The 20,725-nt window shown below is 42.3% G+C and overlaps 1 protein-coding gene across 2 annotated transcripts in view, besides 1 other annotated feature; it reads right to left on the bottom strand.

Annotated features, from left to right (window-relative positions):
• The window catches only part of NOS1AP (nitric oxide synthase 1 adaptor protein), a 300,785-nt gene that overhangs the window by 111,313 nt on the left and 168,747 nt on the right, over positions 1 to 20,725 (bottom strand). The window lies entirely within an intron of this gene.
• Positions 9,030 to 9,691: an enhancer, noted in NCBI's record as "NANOG-H3K27ac hESC enhancer chr1:162219262-162219923 (GRCh37/hg19 assembly coordinates)". NCBI's record gives its function as "activates a minimal SCP1, AML or CMV promoter by ChIP-STARR-seq in naive H9 embryonic stem cells {active_cell/tissue: H9 hESC(naive)}" and the evidence as "EXISTENCE:reporter gene assay evidence [ECO:0000049][PMID:30033119]".

Here is a 20,725-nt window from a genome sequence, read left to right as displayed (position 1 = left end):
CAACAGCGGGGTGGTCGCAGAGAAGCTACCTGTGTATGAACAGGGAGCTCTCTGTCCCAGATGATGAGAATCATAACCCAACAACCTTATTGGAGGCCGCAGGTTGTCTTTTCTAGTCTCCCTCAGCAATGGTGAGGCTGGTGATACTGAATCATATGATGAGGTTTACAAGATGAGGGAAAGGGCTCTCAAGTTTACACATAAAATTAGCCATCAGAGGTCCTAATGGAACCAACCAGACGTCATCCCACCTACAATGTGAACCCTATAACACACCCTGCCAACCTCAAGATTATTTGTTATGGACTCTGTATCAAGCCCACTTAAATCTCAATATTTAATGATGATAAATCCTAGAAAGACCCATGTACTTATCCCAGTGTTAGACTGGTTTGTGGGCACTCTCACCCTCCTTCAGAGCTCACATATAGGAAGCAGTGTAAAGAAATAAAGATGACACCAAATGAATGCCAATGGCTGTCAGAATGTCACCCAAGCCTGCAACAGCTCAAATAGGCATTACTGTCAGGCAATTTCCACTGTATATGTTAAGGGTTCAGCCCATGGGGAGAGAAATATCTGGAGCTGGGAGTTAAGCCAGGGGAGATAAGACACATAGAACCACAGAGGACCATTACGTGTCAATGCGAGAAACCAAGAGAGGAGAGGAGAGCTGGGAGAAGTAGTGGTGGATTCCATGGGAGGAAAAGATTCCAGATAAGATGCACCTATGTCTCCCACCCATTTGGAATGTTCTTACAATAATTCTTCCCCCAACCATCACCTCCCCACATCCCATTCATATTCCTGGTGTGAGATACAGGGGTAAGGAGTCACTGTTTACAAGCAGGGCACCCAAATAATTAAGACATGCTTCCTGCTCTCATGGTGCTCAGAGACAAGTAAGAAAAGATGGATGTCCAATAATTATGATTCCATGTTATAAATACTATGTGATAAAATGAAAGGGTGACTAGGGTTTGCCAGGCAGACTAGGTAGGAGGGGAATGTGAGGGCTGAGGGAGACTGAGCAGCGAGCACTTGTGCAGAAAGCTCTAGATACCTGCAGTGTCAGGGAAAAGCAAACAGGCCTGTACATTTGGAGGAAATGAGCACTGGAGAATTATCAGAAATAAGGCTCAAAATTTAGCCAAGAGACAATTTATGGCATTTAAAATAAAAAAAAAAGCAAAGCAATAAATCTGTCCACTTGATTAATGGAGTTGCTCAAAGCGGGAAATGTCCTCTCTGAAATATGGATAGAAAAGAGATGCGTCTAGAGCCAGTAGAGAAAATCTGAAGAGACAAAGGCTAAGCCAGGTCCAGGAACTTTGGGTTACACTCACTGTGGCCCATAGTACTCAGATTGCCACAGAGGCCTCAAGATACTACACATGTAGCCAATGGACACTTCTCCTCTTCCCTCGACTACCACTACTGATGACAGTGCCTTTGACAGTGTTTACATGTGTACCAGATTTGGGGCCTGGCTTTCTTTTTTCTTTTTTTTTTTTGAGATGGAGTCTCGCTCTGTCACCCAGGCTGGAGTGCAGTGGCATGATCTCGGCTCACTGCAACCTCTGCCTCCTGGATTCAAGAGATTCTCCTGCCTCAGCCTCCCAAGTAGCTGGGATTACAGGTGCCCGCCACCACACCCAGCTAATTTTTGTACTTTTAGTAGAGACAGGGTTTCGTCATGTTGCCCAGGCTAGTCTCAAACTCCCAACCTCAGGTGATCCACCCACCTTGGTCTCCCAAAGTGCTGGGATTACAGGCATGAGCCACCGTGCCTGGTCTGGGCCTGGCTTGCTTTCTCTTCAGTAGCTACCTCCAGCAGCACTTCCTAGAAAAATCACATCTCTGTTCACAGATGTGAACAGAGAAGCCCACTGGCTTCCACTGCCCTCCCAATGTACCAACTCCCCAGCATTTGGCAAGCTCTGGGCAATGCTTCCTTTCTAAATATTCCTCCAACCAGAAAGTTCTGCTGCACTTGGCATGATGTAAGTATGAATGCAGCTGGCTATGTAATGAGCTAATTTTTTATTATCTTGGATACCCATATGCCCTTTCTATTCTTTTATCTCCCCTCCAATGTAGCCCTCTCACCCCTAATACCCTAGCCCTCTGACCAATTCTTGGGAAAGGCCTGAACAAAAGTCAGTTTCACTTAGGAATAACTTGGAGAAGAGAATGCCCTGTAAGTGGTTGGCACTTTGAACTATTAAATGATTAAAGGGTCTGGAATCACTAAGAGATCATCTCAAAGAAGTGATTTCTTAATGAGGGACACATTCACAAGCAACTCTGGGATCTGGTTCAAGATGACCAGAAATAAACAAAAAAAAGGCGTCCCTGGCATTTCAAAACTCAGATCCTAAGACTTCATGAGAAATGACATTTGCAACATCAACTACTCTGCTCTTAAGAGATAGGAGACCCCGTTACTTCATATATGCTACACATTTGAGTGTTAATGTACATACGCGCATTTGTGTGTGTGTATCTATGAGAGGGGGAATTAACAAATTACATGGATTTGTGTATGTGTGTGTGCCTAAGAGACAAGGAAGGAAAACAGTGCAGTTGAGAAAGGTGAAGCAAATGTGGCCAAGTACAATGAGTGATGCTGTTGTTCAAGGACAGTTAATCTTCACAGGCAGTCTGAAAGGAGACAGTAAATTAAACAGTGTCCACAATCGGTGCGGGGATTGGCCAACAAGGGAAAATCCCAAGGACTCACAAGGAGTTAGATTGTTACAAAGACCTTTTGGAAAGGGAGTAAAATCCATTAGAAGATTAAGTTCAGCCCAGAAGCCAATGTAAGGAAAACAATTGCAGGAGTGTTTTTCAACACATCAGATGACAGAAGAGCAAAATAATCATTCAGACACTCTGTAATAATGCCAGATGTATTCTCATAGGCTGGACTACGGGGAGAGCTGAGGATGCTATCTGTCCCCTGTCTGCTTACCTCTATTCCAATTTAGCCAATTCTTTTTTTTTTTCTTTTCTTCTTGAGACAGAGTCTCACTCTGTTGCCCAGGCTGGAATGCAGTGGCGCGATCTTGGCTCAATGCAACCTCCGTCTTGTGGATTCAAGCAATTCTCCTGCCTCAGTCTCCCCAGTAGCTGGGATTACAGGCACCTGCCACCACACCTGGCTAATTTTTCTATTTTTAGTAGAGATGGGGTTTCACCATGTTAGCCAGACTGGTCTCAAACTCCTGACCCCAGGTGATCTGCTGCCTCAGCCTCCCAAAGTGCTGGGATTACAGGCGTAAGCCACCGCACCCAGCATCAATTTACCCAATTTTTATTTCCCTCATTCCTACCCATAAAGACTGGGTTAGTGCTTAAGCAGAAAATAATCACTGGCATAGTTTTTTTCCACCCCTGCCCTCACCAACGTTTCTCTTGTTTGTGAGACTAGATTTTGCCAGTGAGTTCACAATGCTACAGAGGTCTTTCTTTAAAGGATCCATTTGACCTTGCTGGTTCCATGGCCATCGATTACAGCTCTCATTTTGGCTGAGATGCCTGCCCTGATCAGCATCTTACACATAGCAGTGGAAAGTCTGGAGAGAGGAAATTGGAGAATGTGGATAGCTCAGAGCAATGCATTACCTATCTTACCAAAAAAAAAAAAAAAAAAAAAAAAAAAAAAAAAAATCAGCAGCAGCAAATAACCTATGCATCTGAAATCCCTACCTTGGGCCAACTGTCTGGGTCTCCTGACCTGAAACAGTAAAAGGAGCCACAAGAGAGGAGAACACTGTTTGGGGAAGAGTCTAGGACACTGAATTCAGTTTGGCCAGGGCCAGCTGAAACAGGAAATTGCAGCAAAGATGCAGCTTCTGGAGAAAGACCTGTTGTAATAAAAAGCTCCCAGTTTGGAGTGAGGGGGGTGGAAAGTGACCAATCTATAAAACAAACTCTAGGAGCCACCTCAAAATAAAATGTTCCTCAAGGTCATCTGTGAGCCCTTGTAAGTACTTTAGAACTGCCTGACAGATGCTAATTAACTCTCCTGACTCCGCAGCCCCAGGGAGATGTGAATGTGTTTAACTGATGAGCACATTCAAGCTGTACTATTCCTGGAGCTCTAACTGCTTCTTGAAAGACCTTTTGAAGAAAATATTTGGTAACATCATAGAACGTCCAAACTGAAATGGACCACAAAGAGCCTCTTTAGAGAGGAAGAAGGAATAATAGAAAGAATATGGACTTGGAGAAAGATCTAAATCTAAATCCCAGATAAGGAATCTACCAGCTGTGTGAGTGCCAAGAAGTCACTTAAACATCTAAGCCTCAATCTTTCTTATCTGCAATATGAGGATAACACCACCCATACCACAGATTGTACTGGTAAAATGCATTGCCCTGTTCCCAGCTTATAGTGATCTACAGTTAGAGTATAATTTGTAATATGCTATAAACTATGGCATACTATAAAGTATTGTGGTAGTTAATTTAGAGCACACTTTCCTCATGTCCCTTCTCCTTTGTACACATTCACCAGTCGCATCCTCTTGTGACACGCTAGCTACTGTAGAAAACACATCCATGAGATTCTCAAGGCCTCCCACTCCTTACCCTAAAATGGCCAACATGTTTGCCAGCAAAGTGGTGGAGGAGCCAGCTTGCCAGCTTTAGCTCTGAATTCCATGTCTCTCGTGCTCCATCATCATCTAGCAGGCCCATGGCTTTGCCCTTTAAAACCACTGGCCCCTGCTGGGGAGGGTTAGTCACATGGGACAGTGGTAACACTCACGTTTGCACATTCACCCACAATGGTTCATGTCAGTCCCATCCAACAGCATCCTCCTAAACTGCTCCTGGTCACCAGAAATCCCAGCTCTTTGCCTGTGTTCTATAAACTATAGCCCCTGATACAAGAAGAAGGCCTTGCAGTTACATGATGCACATTTAATGAGGACTTAAACAATCTATAGGCATTGACCAAGAATCTACTATAGTCAAGACCCAGGGCGAGATGCTGAAACGAGGCACTGACTTTAAAAAGCATTTAGAGACAAAGATACAAATGTTTCATCATCCTTCATCAAAAACAATTACTCAAAAAATAAGAAAATGATTCTTAAAGTACATTTTACAGATGGAAAAGCCAAGTCATCAAAAACCATACCACTCCAGAATGCAGGAATCCTATCTTCCCTTTACCTCTTCAATCACTAAGTAGCCTCTGTAGGAGGTGACATTATCTCCTCAAGATAGTAATCATCATTTCCTTGTCATAGGATACGCCTGCTTCTTATTTTCTGGATTCATGCATTAAAAAAGATAAATCTTCAGCTAAACTACTCATCTGTGTCAGCAAAAACATTTATAAGAGAAAAAAAGTGGCTTGAAATATAAAAATCAAGAGATGTTTAAAAGAAAAAAAACCCAGAAGATAAGTCTGCTTATGTTGAAAAAACTGCATTTCTCAAAAGATCATTATATTCACAAAGGGAGTGACATTTCCTTAGATCTCAGCATCACAGAAGTCAAGGACAAAACTGTTATAGCTAGAAAATCTAGGATTATGGGGAATGCTTAAACATTCACTTATGTGGTTGGCCAGAACTAGACAGGGTTAATCTTGCTTATTTTGATCTTCTAAGGATGAAAAGTGAGAGCTTTTTTCCTCATTTTTCTAATGTTTTCTCTCTGACAATTCATAACTGAATTGGGCAAAGTATAAGTTTTCTTCTATATCTGTAACCACCCTTGGCTTCACCCATGAGAAACAGACTTAACTTGAAGGCTCAAGCAGTAAATATTTCTTGAGGAATTAGTTCATTTTGCACCTATAACAGGATATCAGAGACTGATAATTTATAATGAACAGAAATTTCTCACAGTTCTAGTGGCTGGGAGTCCAATATCAAGGTGCTGGCATCTGACAAGGACCTTCTTGCTGCATCGTCCCATGGCGGAAGGAAGAAGTGTGGAGAGGGCAAGAGAGAAAGAGAACAAGAGGAGGCCAAACTCGCCCTTTTACAACAAACCCACTCCCTCCATAATGACATTAATCCATTTAAGAGGGCAAAGCCCTTTTCACCTAATCACCTCTTAAAGGTCTCACCTCTTAATATTGTGACAGTGACAATTAAATTTAAACATGAGTTTTGTTAGGGACAAACATTCAAACCATAGCAGAGACCAATTAGGCACCAGGCATGTACCAGCATATACCAAGTGCTATAGAAGAGCACTGCCCAACAGAACTTTCTGTAATAATGGAAATATTCTATACCTGTGCTATCCAATACAATAGCTGCTGAACATACAGTTTCTGGGCACTTGAAATGGGGCAAGTGCAACCAAAAAACTGAATTTTATTTTTAATTTTATTTTAATGAATTGAAACTTAAATTGCCACACTTAGCTAGTGGCTATTATATTGAATACACAGCTATAAGGGACACCAATATAAGAGAAAGCATGGTCCATGCACATATGTGAAACTGTGCCCCAAAGAGTTAAAGAAACCAGGGATTAATAGAAATTCTTGAGTTCACAAGATGGCAGGTAATTAAAGAAACAACTTGCTGAAGCTCCCTCCACTTACGAGATAAAATAACTACTGAAATCTATTGGAACCAAGATGGCCAATTAGAGTGCACAGAATGGGCTTGCTGACCTCACAGCCTGAATTTCTACTGCATGCTTCATACTACCTCCCCTTGAATTTGCACATGCAATCCATGAGGCAACATGCAGAGATAACTGTGCATGCCCAAGGAATTTCCAGACCTCCCCTTTCCTTCCACCAATCATCCATTAATCTCAGAATCCACCCCCTGGGCTGGATGCAGTGGTTCATGCCTATAATCCCAGCCAGCATGTTGGGAGGAGGAAGTGGCCCGATTGCTTGAGCTCAGGAGTTTGGGACTAGCCTAGGAAATATGGTGAAACCTCCTCTCTATAAAAAATACAAAAATTAGCTGGACATGGTAGCACACACCTATAGTCCCAGCTACTCAGGAGGCTGATGTGGGAAGATCATTTGGACCTGTGAGGTTGAGGGCTGAGGCTGCAGTAAGCCAAGATTGCACCACTGCATTCCAGCTTGGGCAACAGAATGAGTCCCTGTCTCAAAAAAAACAAAAAGAAAAAAGAATTTACCCCCTGAACCTTTTCTAATAAATATACTGCCTTGGGCCAGTTGTGGTGGCTCACACCTATAATCTCAACATTTTGGGAGACCAAGGAGAGAGGAACACTTGAGTTCAGCCTGGGCAATATAGTGGGACCTTGTCTCCACAAAAAAAAAAAAAAAAAAAACAAAAAAAAAAACAACTAGCTAGGTGTTGTGGTGCATGCCTGTAGTCCCAGCTACGTGGGAGGTTGAATTGGGAAGATCACTTGAGCCCAGGAGTTCAAGGCTACAGTGAGCCATGATCATACCACTGCACTCCAGCCTGGGTGACAGAGTGAGTGAGACCCTATCTCAAATATGTATGTGTATATATACACACACATACACACACACATATATATATATTTATACACACACACAGACACACACACACACACACACACACACACACATATATATATTTTAAATAAACCCAGCCTGAAGAGACAGATTGGAGCTTGACTCCTGTCTCCTTGGGAGTCAACTTTCAATATAAAGCTTTTATTTTCTTAAAAACCCAGTGTCACAGTGTTTAGCTTCTAGTACATTGGGAAATGAGCCCCTTTTGCTCAGTAATAGATGATCTGCATGTTCTCTCTGAAGAAACAGGACAAGGACACATAAAACGTTGACTCATAATGACAAGGTAGTAGAAAATGATGGCAAGTGAATGGCATGGGGATCAGGGGCTGCGGGAATTTGAAGAACTCAGGGAAGATGTGACAGAGACAGCAGGACATGAGCTGAGAGGGCCTAGTGGGAGAGCAGGATTGTTTAGGCCAAAGATGGCATGACACCATATTGCTGTACTCAGACTACCTCTATTCACACAGCTCATAGGCCACAGGCATTAGCTGAGTTCATACTAAGGAATTTACAGATAAACAGGTTATTTTTGTGGTAGTGGTCTCATGACACTATCAAACAAACAAACAAACAAACAAACAAAAAAGCTCAGGACAGAGGGCACAGCAGGTAATACCTAAAGTCTCCTCCCCTGGAAGTATGACAGGCAAGGCAGTCCCAGTGGGGCTATGATAAGGTGTGCCTTTACAGCAAGTGATCCAGAGAGGAAGGGAAGAGTCAAAGTTCCAGTATGCTTGGGACGTCAAGGCAGGAGGCAGAAGGGTTAGCTTTTGGGTTACAAAAGCTCAAGAAAAAGGTGTCTGGCTGATAATGGTATCCACAAAGGGATAAGAGGGAGGAAGAACTCAAGCTATAGGTGGAAAGGTAGTCTCACACACTCTTCGCATGCCAGGGGGAATCTGCCACCTTTAAGTTCTTGTTTAAAAAAATGTAACAAGTAGGCAAATGCCTAAATATAGACATCCACTGCATCACCATAGGGCTGTGCACACAGCAGCTCCCTCAACTGCTGCATGGGGGTGGTCCCATTTTACCCCACCCCACTTTCCCCTGCCTGACTCACTTATTCTCAATGACTATGGAGGGGGGCTTTCCCACTCCTCTGAGGAGGAGACAATACAGCTTTCTTTGCCCCTTAAATGGAGATGTAACCACAGGGAACCAGATAGGCCCAGAGTATGAATGAAATGGATTCGCCTGCTTCTGCTGCTGTTTTGCTTCCAAATGTTGGCTAAAACAATCTCTCTCCTAAAGCCTATACTCTATCAGTGGATATTCTTTTTTAACCTATCTCCATCCTTTTTTAGAGGGAAGAGGTACTTCAAAACTTTTAGCCTCCTAGAGTGCTATATTTAAAGGTCAACATCCCTAGGAAGGCTAACTTCAATGATCAGATAACACCTTGGAGGAGGATGTCTGTATAAACAGAAAATTCCTAGAACTGTCCCCTCGGGAAAATGGGCATTTGGTTTGGTCCTAGAAGCTGGGAGGAACCTTTCTGAAGACAGCATAAGCCCTGAAAGGGGAAATGGGAGAGCACTCCTTGGCTACCTGGTCTAGGACTGACTCTAGGCAGTGCTCTGAGAGTCAGAACAAGGGAACAGACAGGGCATGGGATTTGACTGCTCCATTCCTGGGTTCACATTCCAGGGCTGGACTAGTCATTTAGCAGTTTGTGACATAGGGATGTCTCTTCAACCTACAAAGTCTTTACTTCCTCATCTGCAAAAGGCCCATTCACTGCTACTCATCTATCACTTCTTCAGGGAAGTTGTCCCCATTGGTCAAATCCCCCTCTCGTGCCCACTGATACACTGGACTCTCTCCTTCAGAGTAGATCATGGTTGAATGTTTACACTCATGCATAATTATCTGATTAGCACTTGTTTTTCTTATCTGTAAGTAAACTTCATTAGAGCAGGAACCATGTCTGTTTTTCTCATGATTGTATCCCAAATTTCAATACCCTATGCAGCACATAGTAGGTTTCAAATTAACACATATTCAACCATTGAATAGATGATTAATTGAGCTCATGTATATGAAAATGATCTCCAAAATATGCAGTACAATGGATATGTTTGTGATTCTTATTTGGTGTGGATGATGACAAGAGAATTAATCCTCTTAGCCACTGGAAACCATTCTGCTTTCATTGAAGTAACAAAACTGCTGCATTTGAAAGACACCATAAGGAAAGGGATTCTTACAAGCTGCCCCATGGTGCCCTCTTTCAGGATTCTCTTCGTGACCATACTAAAATACCCAGCTCATCTGTGTTCACATGAGACATTGCTTTATTTTGATCCATAGATGGTCACTGTGGGAGCCTGGCTGAGTCATATGGACATTTTAAAAAGTGAGACATCTATTGGCTAAATCTGCAGGGTATCTGGTGCTGGACTAGGGACAATGCATTCTGGCCAAGGGCTAGGCTGAGAAAAGCACTCCAGGTCCCACCATCCCCCACCTTTGGTTGAATCCAACTCTATATCCAAAGTGCCATGGGCATCAGGAACCAAAGGAAACTGCAGTGGCCAAACCCCGGGAGAGCTTGCTCCCCCACGCTGATCCATTCAAGGGAACAAAGGCCTTCAAAGTTGCACTGAGCTGGTCTGGAGATGGAAGGCCTTTATGCAGGTTTCCAAGGAGATGACTCAGATGCTGTTACCATAGAAACTGTTGCTATCATCTATTGTCCATCACCCCTTGATAAAAGGAAAGGGGGGGGTGCTGTGGTTTGATGGAGAAGGAAACAAGAAGAGTTGGATTTAAGTCAAGATGAAAAAAACATATTGAGATGGGTCCCCGAAGACTTTAATGGTGTATATAACAAAACCTCTAATCTCCAAAGGAAATGAATTAGGGACATGAATGTTTATGGTTTGTTGTTATTTGTGTTGGTGGAGTTGGGGTGAATAAAATGGCATACAGAATGACCGACACTCATCTGTTGGAGGACCCTGTCAATTAGGATCTCTAGAGAAACATTCAGTTGTGAGGCTCATCAGCATGGTCCAGGCCATAACCCCTGAGGCTAAAGGGTCATAAGGAAATTGATGTAAGCTCTCTGCCCCCTCTCCTCTGCTGCAAACTTTTTTCAGGTAAAAGCGGAGCATATTAGAAGTCCTTCTGATTTTTCCTGCTACTTCATAATAGCCACTGCCATTAAAGAGTTGATTTTTTAATCTAATGAGAGAAGATTATGGTAAATTTAAAAAGTTCCATAAATAACACATAGAAAAGCATATGGGTAATGGAAGACACACTAGACTTGGCATCAAGTCAGAAGATCAGAATTTGAAAGTCAATATCATCAATTATTATTTGCAAGACCTTGGGCACTTCACATGCCTGAGTCTCAATTATCTCTTCTACTTCATGGGGATTGTAACTGCCAGTGTACTTAATATGGGATAAAGCCTTATCAATAAATTATGTTATCACTTGTCAAACACCATGGTGTTTGTTAGTTACCTAAAATGCCACACCCATATCAAAAAAGGTCTTTTGATTTATATATATATATATTAGAGGTGGGATCTCGTTGTGTTGTCCAGGCTGGTTTTGAACATCCGGCCTCAAGCGATCCTCCCAACTCAGCCTCCCAAGGTGCTGGGATTACAGGTGTGAGCCACCACACACGACCAGCTTTTGATTTTAATTATTCCAGGCAGAACCATAGTAAATCCTTTTGTGTCATCCAGCTCTGTTTGAAAAGTTGGCATCCAACCAATTACTGTGACCTTGAAATTGTGGATAACATAGAATATATGTCCTCACAGCCTTCTTTCTCATGAAGGCCATCAGATCATGTGCAGGAATCAAGTCTGACAATTAGACCTGTCTTCCCAAAGTAGTGTTGGCAAGTTACATTTCAATAGGGAATAAGATGCTGAAGCTGTAGGAAAGGCTCTCTGGCACAGTAGGTATGGAAGGAGGACAATGTGGGGGGGACGGGACAAAAATTATTTTCATAGGTAAGTTTTCAAGCCTGATACATGTAGAAATGGGAGTTCTGAAAGCTCTGGAGTCTGGAAACAGAAACAAGTGTAGAAATTATATTGCTATTACCCCAGTCCAAAAAGTCTCTTCCATATCTTTCAGACCCTTTATAAAGACAACATAAACTTTGAACTCATCTTGCAAAATAAGCACTCACAAAGTTGCCAGGTGGGGCCTACAGTGCTCCAGGAAAGGTTACTCAACCCTGGGAACTCTGGGAATCAGACAAAGGAGGCATTCAGGTGCTACCGGATATGGCAGAGAAAAGAGAATGCAGTTCCTTCCCTCTGGTTCTGCAAAAGTTCCTTATTTATGTTTTTCTTTCAAATAACACTGCTGTGCATTGTTGGGATACTCTTAGATCAGAGCATCTTTCCTGAGGGATCAGATAGAAGGAATTACGAGAGAAAGAGGCAAGGGGAGAAAATGCCTTTCCAATCATGGGATTGGTGACACTGGTTAATTCTGCATGCCAAGAGGGAAGGAACCAAGACAACAAAAAACATGCTAAGAGTTCTCACTCTATATATACAGGTTTCTATTAATAACCATCAGAAACCCAGGACCAATTCAAAGCCAGACAATCAAAAGGGATTACTGAAGAAAAGCACCCAGTGATCTAACGTCCTTGATCCCAGGAAGATGAGATTTGTACTCAGTTTTAGCTTTAAATATGATTCCCACAAAATGACTTCCAAAATTTAAAAATCCCTGATTCCTACAGTTTTACCCAACCTTATAATGGATTTTATTTCTTCTCAACAACAACTTCTCTGCTTCCTTGAGGCAAATCTCTCTAGCGAGGACAAACTGGCCATACCCATTCCTGTCCAGGTCTCCCATCAACACCCCCACAGCACAGATTGGGGAGCTAGAAGGGACCCCACATATCATATACTGTTATCTAGGCTTCTCATTTTAGAGTTTAAAAAACTGAGGCCAAGAGACCCAGTAAATGACTTTCCCAGGGTTACAGAGTCAAGTAGGAGCAGATCCCAGGCCAGAATTACTATTTCTGTACAGTATTATTTCTAATATATTATACTACTATCAACTCATGGTCATCTTAATCCTATGTGTATTAATCTCATCTCCTTAACTAGATTAAAATCTCCTGGAGAGCAAGAATTATATGTTTTCCTAGTAATTTTAAGCACTCACACCATAACAGCCAGCACCAAGCTAAGACATTTAGGAGGAACACTCAAGTGATTCCTGACCAACTCCTACCTCACTCTTCATTAAGGATCTAGCCTGCATGCTCTGCTGGCAGCATCCAATGGCCACATCCACCATGTTGTTCATCACTCTGTACTGTCCCTGCACATTGTCTTTCTCTTCACTGGACTATAAGATGTTTAAAGACAGGACTGGGCCATATCTTATTTCCTGTGTGTATCTCAATATTCAACACATACTAGGAGATTTAAAAAAAAGGATTAAATAAAAAATGGATTCTACAACAAGTCTCAACCAACCCACATACATCACAGAAGGTCTAAGTTACCTCTGGGGCAGGAGTTGATCACTCTACCCTCCCTTGAAACGTTTTCTTTTCTTGGTTCCCATTTTTTACTCTTTCGATAGAATTGTAGCCCTAAGGGCACCTGGCCTGCCATCTTTAGGAGAGAGGTCAATAGTAACCAATGACACCTTGACCCCTCAAATGTGTTAACGTTGGTATTAATAAAATGCTTTAAAGGAGCTAGCAGTTGGAGCCAGATGTGTTCTTTTAAGGAAAAACGTAAACGTTAATCCATCATAAGCTATCATCATTAAAATAGCCCACCTGGGACTTACAGAAGATTACCAACTCCATTGCCAAATCCAGATGCCAAAAGAGAATACTTAAAGACATTCTGACACACCCAGAAATCAAGCCAGTATTCTGGCATAAACAGATGTTCTCGTTCTGATCCTTTTCTCTACCAAACTTGATTAGCTGACAGGATTGTAAAATGTCTCATTCACAAAATAATGTCTAAAAAGCAATTGCTGATGGACATCTGGGTTGTTTCCAGTTTTGCCTACTACAGCTAAAGCTGCTATGAAGGTTCATGTACAAGCGCTTGCATTTGCTTTCACAGACATATGCTTTCATTTCTCTTGGGTAAATACCTAGAAGTAGAATGGTTGGATCATATGGTAGGTGTATGTTTAACATTTTAAGACATTACCAAACTGTCTTCCAACTGGCTGTACCATTTTGCATTCCCACCAGCATTATGTGAGAGTTCCAGTTCCCTGACATCTTCATCAACATTTGACATGGTCAGTCTTTTACATTTTTCATCATTCTTAGTTATGCAGAGGTTCCTCCTTATGGTTTTAATTTGCATTTTCCTTAAGACTAATGATGCTCAGCATCTGTTCATATGCATATCTGCCATCTTTATGTCTTCTTTGGTGAAGTATCTGTTCAAAGCTTTTGCCCAGTTTTTAAAATTGGGTTGTTTTCTTATTAATTTTTTTAAGTTCTTTATCTTCTGAATACAAGTCCTTAGGCAGGAATGTTCACAGCAATTGCCTTCCCCAAATTAAAAACAAAATATCCTACTAGTTTCCTCTCTTTCCTCGCCCTATCCTTGTCCCCTCCTCCTCTACATGGTAGCACACAATCTCAGCATTTAAATAAAAGAGGAGGCAGCTATGGTCTTCCCTCAAGCTCCCATCACCCTATATAGCCATAGTTAGGAAGTAGATCTTCTCATATCCTTGTTACTCAAATGCATGTATACTCATGCATGCCCAGGAGGAGTTAACATAAGCCCATTTCTTCTCTAAAGATGCACTAACTTTGAATCGTTAGCTCAACTAGGAGCAATTTTATCCCCATGCAATACTTGGCCATATCTAAAAAAATTTTTGTTTGTCACAACTGGACAGTAGAAATGGTTGCTACTGGCACCCAATGGGTAGAGGCCAGAGATGCTGCTAAACGTCATACAATGTCCCCCACAACGAAGAATTATCTGGAAACTCTGCTTTAAATCAATTTACAGGTACTCCTTTAGATAAAGCAATATAGTATAATAGAAATAATACAGATTTGAGAGCCAGGAGACCTGGGTTCTATTCCTAGCTCGGTCACTAACTAGTTGTATAACCTCAGGAAAACACTTAATCTCTCAAAGCACTAAATTCTTCATCTGTAAAATGCAGAAGCTAACCTAAATTATCTCTAAGTTCTCCTCTAGTAGCAAATAAATATAGCTATTTATTCAAAACCACATAGAACTTGGAGCAGTCCTGAAAATGTCCTTAGGTTCCATACTTAAATTCAACAAGATGGTAACAAAGGTTGGTTTAAGAGAACAGTCCTTGAGAATGTGTCTCAAAGAGAATGAAAATCAACTGCTGACCCCAGCAGGAACCTTGCCTCAACTGAGAGGGGAGACAGGTTCCCAGCACCTGTCAAGCAGAATCTTGGGATCTAGTTACTCCCTAAATAGACCCTGCCCCACCAGTCTGGATCCTTCTCTCCTCCATCCCATGCCTACTCACTCAACTTCAGGGATATAAACATGTAAAATTTGAGTTTCACAGCAGAGCAGGTAAAAATACTTTAAGGCCCGATACACCTCATTGAGCCAGTCTCCAACTTATAAATGAGTCTGTGCCAATGATATGGTGTCTTTGAAAATCCAGACGGAGCTCTGATAGGAGGTAAGTCACCTTGTAGTGGGAACCTGGGACTCACTCCCTCAAATGACAGGCCACAGGCAATACCAACGCTGAATCCTAATCAGTTCCTGCCACTCACACCCCCTTTGAGGGGAAGACGGTCCTCCAACAATTCTTACAACAGCTGTTTTGCAGGTTAAATGAGGTTGAAAAATGGTCCTGTGGGTCCCTGCAAGAATGAACAGACAGCCAACATCTCAGATGGCCCATGGGTAAAGTTCTTTAATTTCAAACTGACTAAAAATTAGAAACATTAATTAAGGAAGAATATTTACCTGGAACCTCTCAGAATTAACCCCAAGAGCTGCCTGTAGATATTTCTGGTGAAATCATATGACTTCCACCATAATTGATGGGTTAAGAAGAGAGCAAGGCCAGCCCTTGGAGATGGGGAAGAGATTTGCTCTTCAAAGAGGCAGACCGATTTGAAAGGAGACCTTACACTCTTCTCTGTCTCTTTTCCGATAAGGTCAGGGCCATAGTTGAAACACATTACTAATCACCATCATCTCTCTTCCTTGTTTTTTTTCTTCCATGCATATTCACAGCAAAGAGGGAAAGCGAGGACACAGAATGTAGGAAGTGAATACCCTGGTCTCTGAGAGGTACTGCTCTTTATGCAGGAGCCCATGCCCATTGCCCCTCATCATTGCCTTCCTCACCTGCTTCTCTCTCATCTAGCCAGTGCTTGATGGGACCTTGAGAAGCATGCTTTCCTCTTCCAGCTGCCGCCATTACACATCTAACACCCCCTTGTCCCCTCTCGGCTACAATAACCTTTCAACAGACACACCTGAATTAAAGTCAATGCAGACTTCAATCAGGATATCACTCCTAAAGCAGAAGCAGATAGCACTACTCATTACCAGCTTGAAGACTGAGAACAGTAGGCTCCCTTAGGGACAATCATAACTCCTTGTTTAATCAGGCTCCTGCACTGCCTGCTGTCTGTGGGTGTATGTATACATGGGTATGCGTATATAGGGGAGGAGCTCAAACCGAAAGCAACATGCAAAATAAACTCCTCTATTAAATAATGCTCATTTTCACTTTTTCTCCTCTACTTTTGCCCGCGCCCCTCCTTCCCGAAGACCAATTTGCAATAAAATCTAGGAGATAGCTGAAGGTTTTATGCTCACTGCTGAAGACTAGCAATTTCTTCTCTAGTGATTTGAGCCCTATCTCTAGTGGATCCCCTGAGTTGCTGCTTTCTTCAATTCTTGGAGGCTGATGATTAGAGCTATCATTTCTATATAACAAATTACATCTGTAATACAACCACCATTGTTTTTTACTCAGACTCTTGTGGGTCAGGAATGTGGAAGAGACTTGGCTGGGCAGTTCTTGCTTGGGGTTTTGCGTGCAGTTACAGTAAGATGTTGGCTAGGGCTGCATCTGAAATTTTGATGGGTCTGGACGTCCAAGATGGCTCAATCCACAGCTGACAGATGATGCTGGCCATCAACTGGGAGCTCAGCTGGAGCTGTCACCAGAGTGCCTACACGTGGCCTCTCCAGCATGGCTATGTCAGGCTAGTTGGACTTCTTTCTTGGCAGCTAGTGTTCCTCATAGTGAGGAATAGTTGACTGGCCATTTTTTTGGACCTAGCCTCAGAAGCTGCATACTTCCACTGCATTCTGTTGGCTGCATGCAAATCATGAAGGTAAACCAAGATTCAAGAGTAGTCACAAACTCCATCTTTCAATGAGATGAGTCTCAAAGAATTTGCAGACATGTTTTAAAAACCCACACTGACCTGTCATCACTTAAAACCCTATTCACTTGAGGTCAGGGAATATACTCTGTTCCTTACTCTCTCAAGCCTAGTTGAGTGTCTGACACATTGTAGATGTTCAATAAATAGATGATGAATGAAGGAAGGAAGGTAAAAAGAACAAATGAACTTCCTGAATAAGGAAACTTCTAGATCTATTTTTTGAGAGAAAAGTCATTTACTGTCCCCAAGCTTTGTTTTCTTTCATTGTTACAGTGGAGATATGACATTCAACTTTCATGGGATTGTGGTTAGAGATGAATGAGATGATTTAGGAGGAAGGATTTTCATTTTCCCAGGGTTGCTGAAAAAGTAAGACTAGAGATGGCACCATGCAGCCAGCCTCTCCTTGTTCACAGAGTTTCAGTGTGAATCTGCTTTGTTGATGTTGACATCTGTCACCTCATCTGGAATGCCTTCCCTTTTCTCCTCTGCTGAGTCAATCCTTGGAGACCTATTTTCATCTTGAGTTCTTCCCGTAGAGGCAGTGTGGGAATTAAGAGCCTGGACTCTGCAGTCAGGGGGAGTGCAGATTCTCTCTCCCACATTGTGCAGTGTAGCCCAGGTCAAGTTACTTAATCCTTCCCAGCCTCATTTTCATCTGTAAAATGAGGATAATAATAGTATCTACCTCATACAGTCATGGGGATTAAATGGGTCAATATGTACTGAGCACTCAGAAGGTTGCCCAGCATAGAGCAAGTGTGAAGTAATTTTAACTAGCTATTATCATCACTCCAGTCTTCACGATCTCTCTCTCCTCTGAACTCCATGCTCTTCCCAAAATGAACTCACTTCAGTTTCCCAAAAGTGCCAGGTTTTCTTGCCCTTCCATGCTGTTCCGTATGCAACTTCCTCTTAAAAGTATTAATCTTTTAAAGCACTCAGCTCTGCGCCTGGCACATGCTAAGCATTATCTTCAGTGTTGGTGATTATGGTTCTACCTAGAATGCTCTTTCCCACCTCTCCTCTGCTTCCCTTGTCTGGCTAATTCTTGGTCATCTTTCAAGTCTCAATTGAAATGTTTCCTTCCAAGAAGCTTTCCCTTCCATGCTAAATCCAGAGTAGGTGCCTTTCCAATCAGGGTCACTGCTGGTCCCTGTGAGCCTTTCTGTGAGTTACAAAAAGGCTCCCCTGCCTCTAGCCAGTACATGTCTTGAGAAGTAGAGGATAGGCTGGATTTCAGCCTCTACTCATCCTTTCAGCCAACAGCCCTTGAACAGCCACACCCCACATAACTGCACACTGCCCTGCTTCCAGTGTGCACTCATGGCATTTATCCTACTCCACTGTGACCATCCCTTGACACGTCTGTATCCCGCCATCAGACTGTGAACTCTGCAAGGGCAGGGCCATAATTGCTCCAGGTGAAATCCCCAATACTTAGTATATCACCCAGCACCAAATAGGTGCTCAGTAAATATTTGTTGAATACATGAATGGACCATGAAGAAATGACCATGTGCCTTGTATCTTTCCCTTGGGGTTGTTTATACATTCCACAGTGTACCTGTGCAAACAAAAAGCTGCCAAATAACACGCTGATGTTTTATCTTTACTCCACGTTTGTAGTTTTTGTTTTGAGTTGGGAGAACAGTGAGTGAGACTTCAATTCATATAGACAGTGTGATTCAGGCTCCCGCTAGAAAGCATGCTGTGCTGTAAGAGCCCTTATCCAGGTGGTTAATGGTACCTCTGCAAATGCAACCTTCTCTAGTAAAAGGCAAAGTGCTATTCTGGGGCCCTGCTGAGCTTGCCTGGGCTTGGGCAGAATGTATAAGCCAAAAATATTTCCCTGAACCGTTCAGAAGGCACTGAATGAAGAGGCTGTTCTGAGGTACTGCCCATAGGGCCAGAAGGCAGGAATCCCAATCCACGTGCCAGGTGAGCAGGCATGCCTCAACACACACACACACACACACACACACACACACACACACACTGGCCACACAGTGCAGCAGGAATGGGACTTGAGCCAATCATGGAAGTCAGTGAGGCCCCTCTGTTCAGTCAGCTGGCAGTTGTTGTGGCTTATTGAGAAGGACAGACCATAAGGCAATAAGGTAATCTCATCTGAGCAGTTAAGGAATGGGTTTCAATGAGTGTCTCTAGCGTGGCAGGTGGGTAAATGTGCCAGGAAGCTGCCATCTGGTGGCAGGAGCACCAATCCAGGCACTGGGAAGCCTGGAGGGAGCTCTGATGCCACATTACTGAAGCAAGTCACCTTCCCTCTACATCTGTGTCCCCAAGTATTAGTTGGCAATATACAGGCCTTTTTACTTCCTGGAATTATTTTGAGCATAAAATCAGACAAACCTAAGTAAAAGTAATCTGAAAGTAAATTATTCTCGAAGTCATTATACTCATTGAGTTGTACAATCCCTTTGCAACATCACCCTACTTGTTTATGCTGCTTTTCCTACTGGGGTTCTCTCCCACTCCTCTTGTCCTTCACAGTGGCCTCTGTTAGCCCATCTGTCTTAGCTGGTGATATGTGACTCCTCCAGGTACATCCCCAGGTTACTTAGGGGCAATAATCATATCAGGCAATCTCTTGGGGGCTTATGACTCACAGCCCAGCACTTGGCATACAGCAGGCTTGCTGAATATTTGCTTAACTGAATATAAGCACGTGTGTTGATCTGTGTGAGTATGTGTGCAAATACATATTCACTCTCAGTCTTCACAGGATCTGACCATTGGAACAACAAAGGAATCCTTTTGGTGACAGGCACCAAAGGGCAGTGTCATTATAATATGTCAAATTGCATTATACTCAAAATAGGGCTCCAAAACCTTGGTTGATGCAGTCCACTGAATTTTAGGAATTCACCCAATAACTGGTAAAATAGGAACTTGCAATAAGAGAATATGATCTGTAGATCACAATGGCTACTTCCTAGACACGTTCCTTAGATGAGCTTCCTCGGCTCTCCTAGAGGCACCTGCCCACATCAGCTGGGGCCATGTGGAGCCCATATCTGATTTGTCTTCACTAATCTTCTTACAGTAAAAGACTTCTTATAAACACAATCATAACCAGTAAAAGTTGGTCTATTACTCAAAACAGATGTTAAGGCAAAGAACCATAGAAAACAGTATGTGCATACCTTAAACATTTTATTTTAATATAAGATATATAAATGTATGTTTATTCACTAATATTGTAATGTAGATTGGAGGTCTTTCCTCTAGGAATAGGTCTACAGATTAACTTACCAAACTCTTCCTTACATAAATAACACAATATATTGACTCTGATTTCTAATTTTGCTTTCTTCCAAGTGGATTAAGAACTTAGAGACATTTGCTGAGTAACATGGGTGCAGGATCCTTCTAAGATTTTTACTTTCCCTCCAACTTTTTTATGCTGTCTTCTTCATAACTAATCCATTGGTGACTTCTGTAACAATTCACTGTTATCATTTTTTTCAAAACATTCTACTTTTATATACGCAGCAACTATAAGAGATGAGATGTCAGATACTTAGAAGAGTACCTAACACACAGTAAGTACTCAGTGAATGTTAGCCATCTATTTTTTCTCACTCATATTTCATTTATGTAATAATTAAATTATTCAATTACAACAACAAATATAACTGGTGCAAACAAGTTTAGGAATTCACACAATTGGCTCTTGGTATGCATTCAGCCCTAATGGAGGGAAAAAAATTATGGTGGCACATAAGACAACAATAACAAAAACACGTAGCAGCAGTTGCCGGTAGTATGTTTTACAGAAGGAA

Source organism: Homo sapiens, chromosome 1 (genome assembly GCF_000001405.40).
Source record: "Homo sapiens chromosome 1, GRCh38.p14 Primary Assembly".
NCBI classification, from domain to species: domain Eukaryota; kingdom Metazoa; phylum Chordata; class Mammalia; order Primates; family Hominidae; genus Homo; species Homo sapiens.
This window is presented reverse-complemented; position numbering and strand designations above follow the sequence as displayed.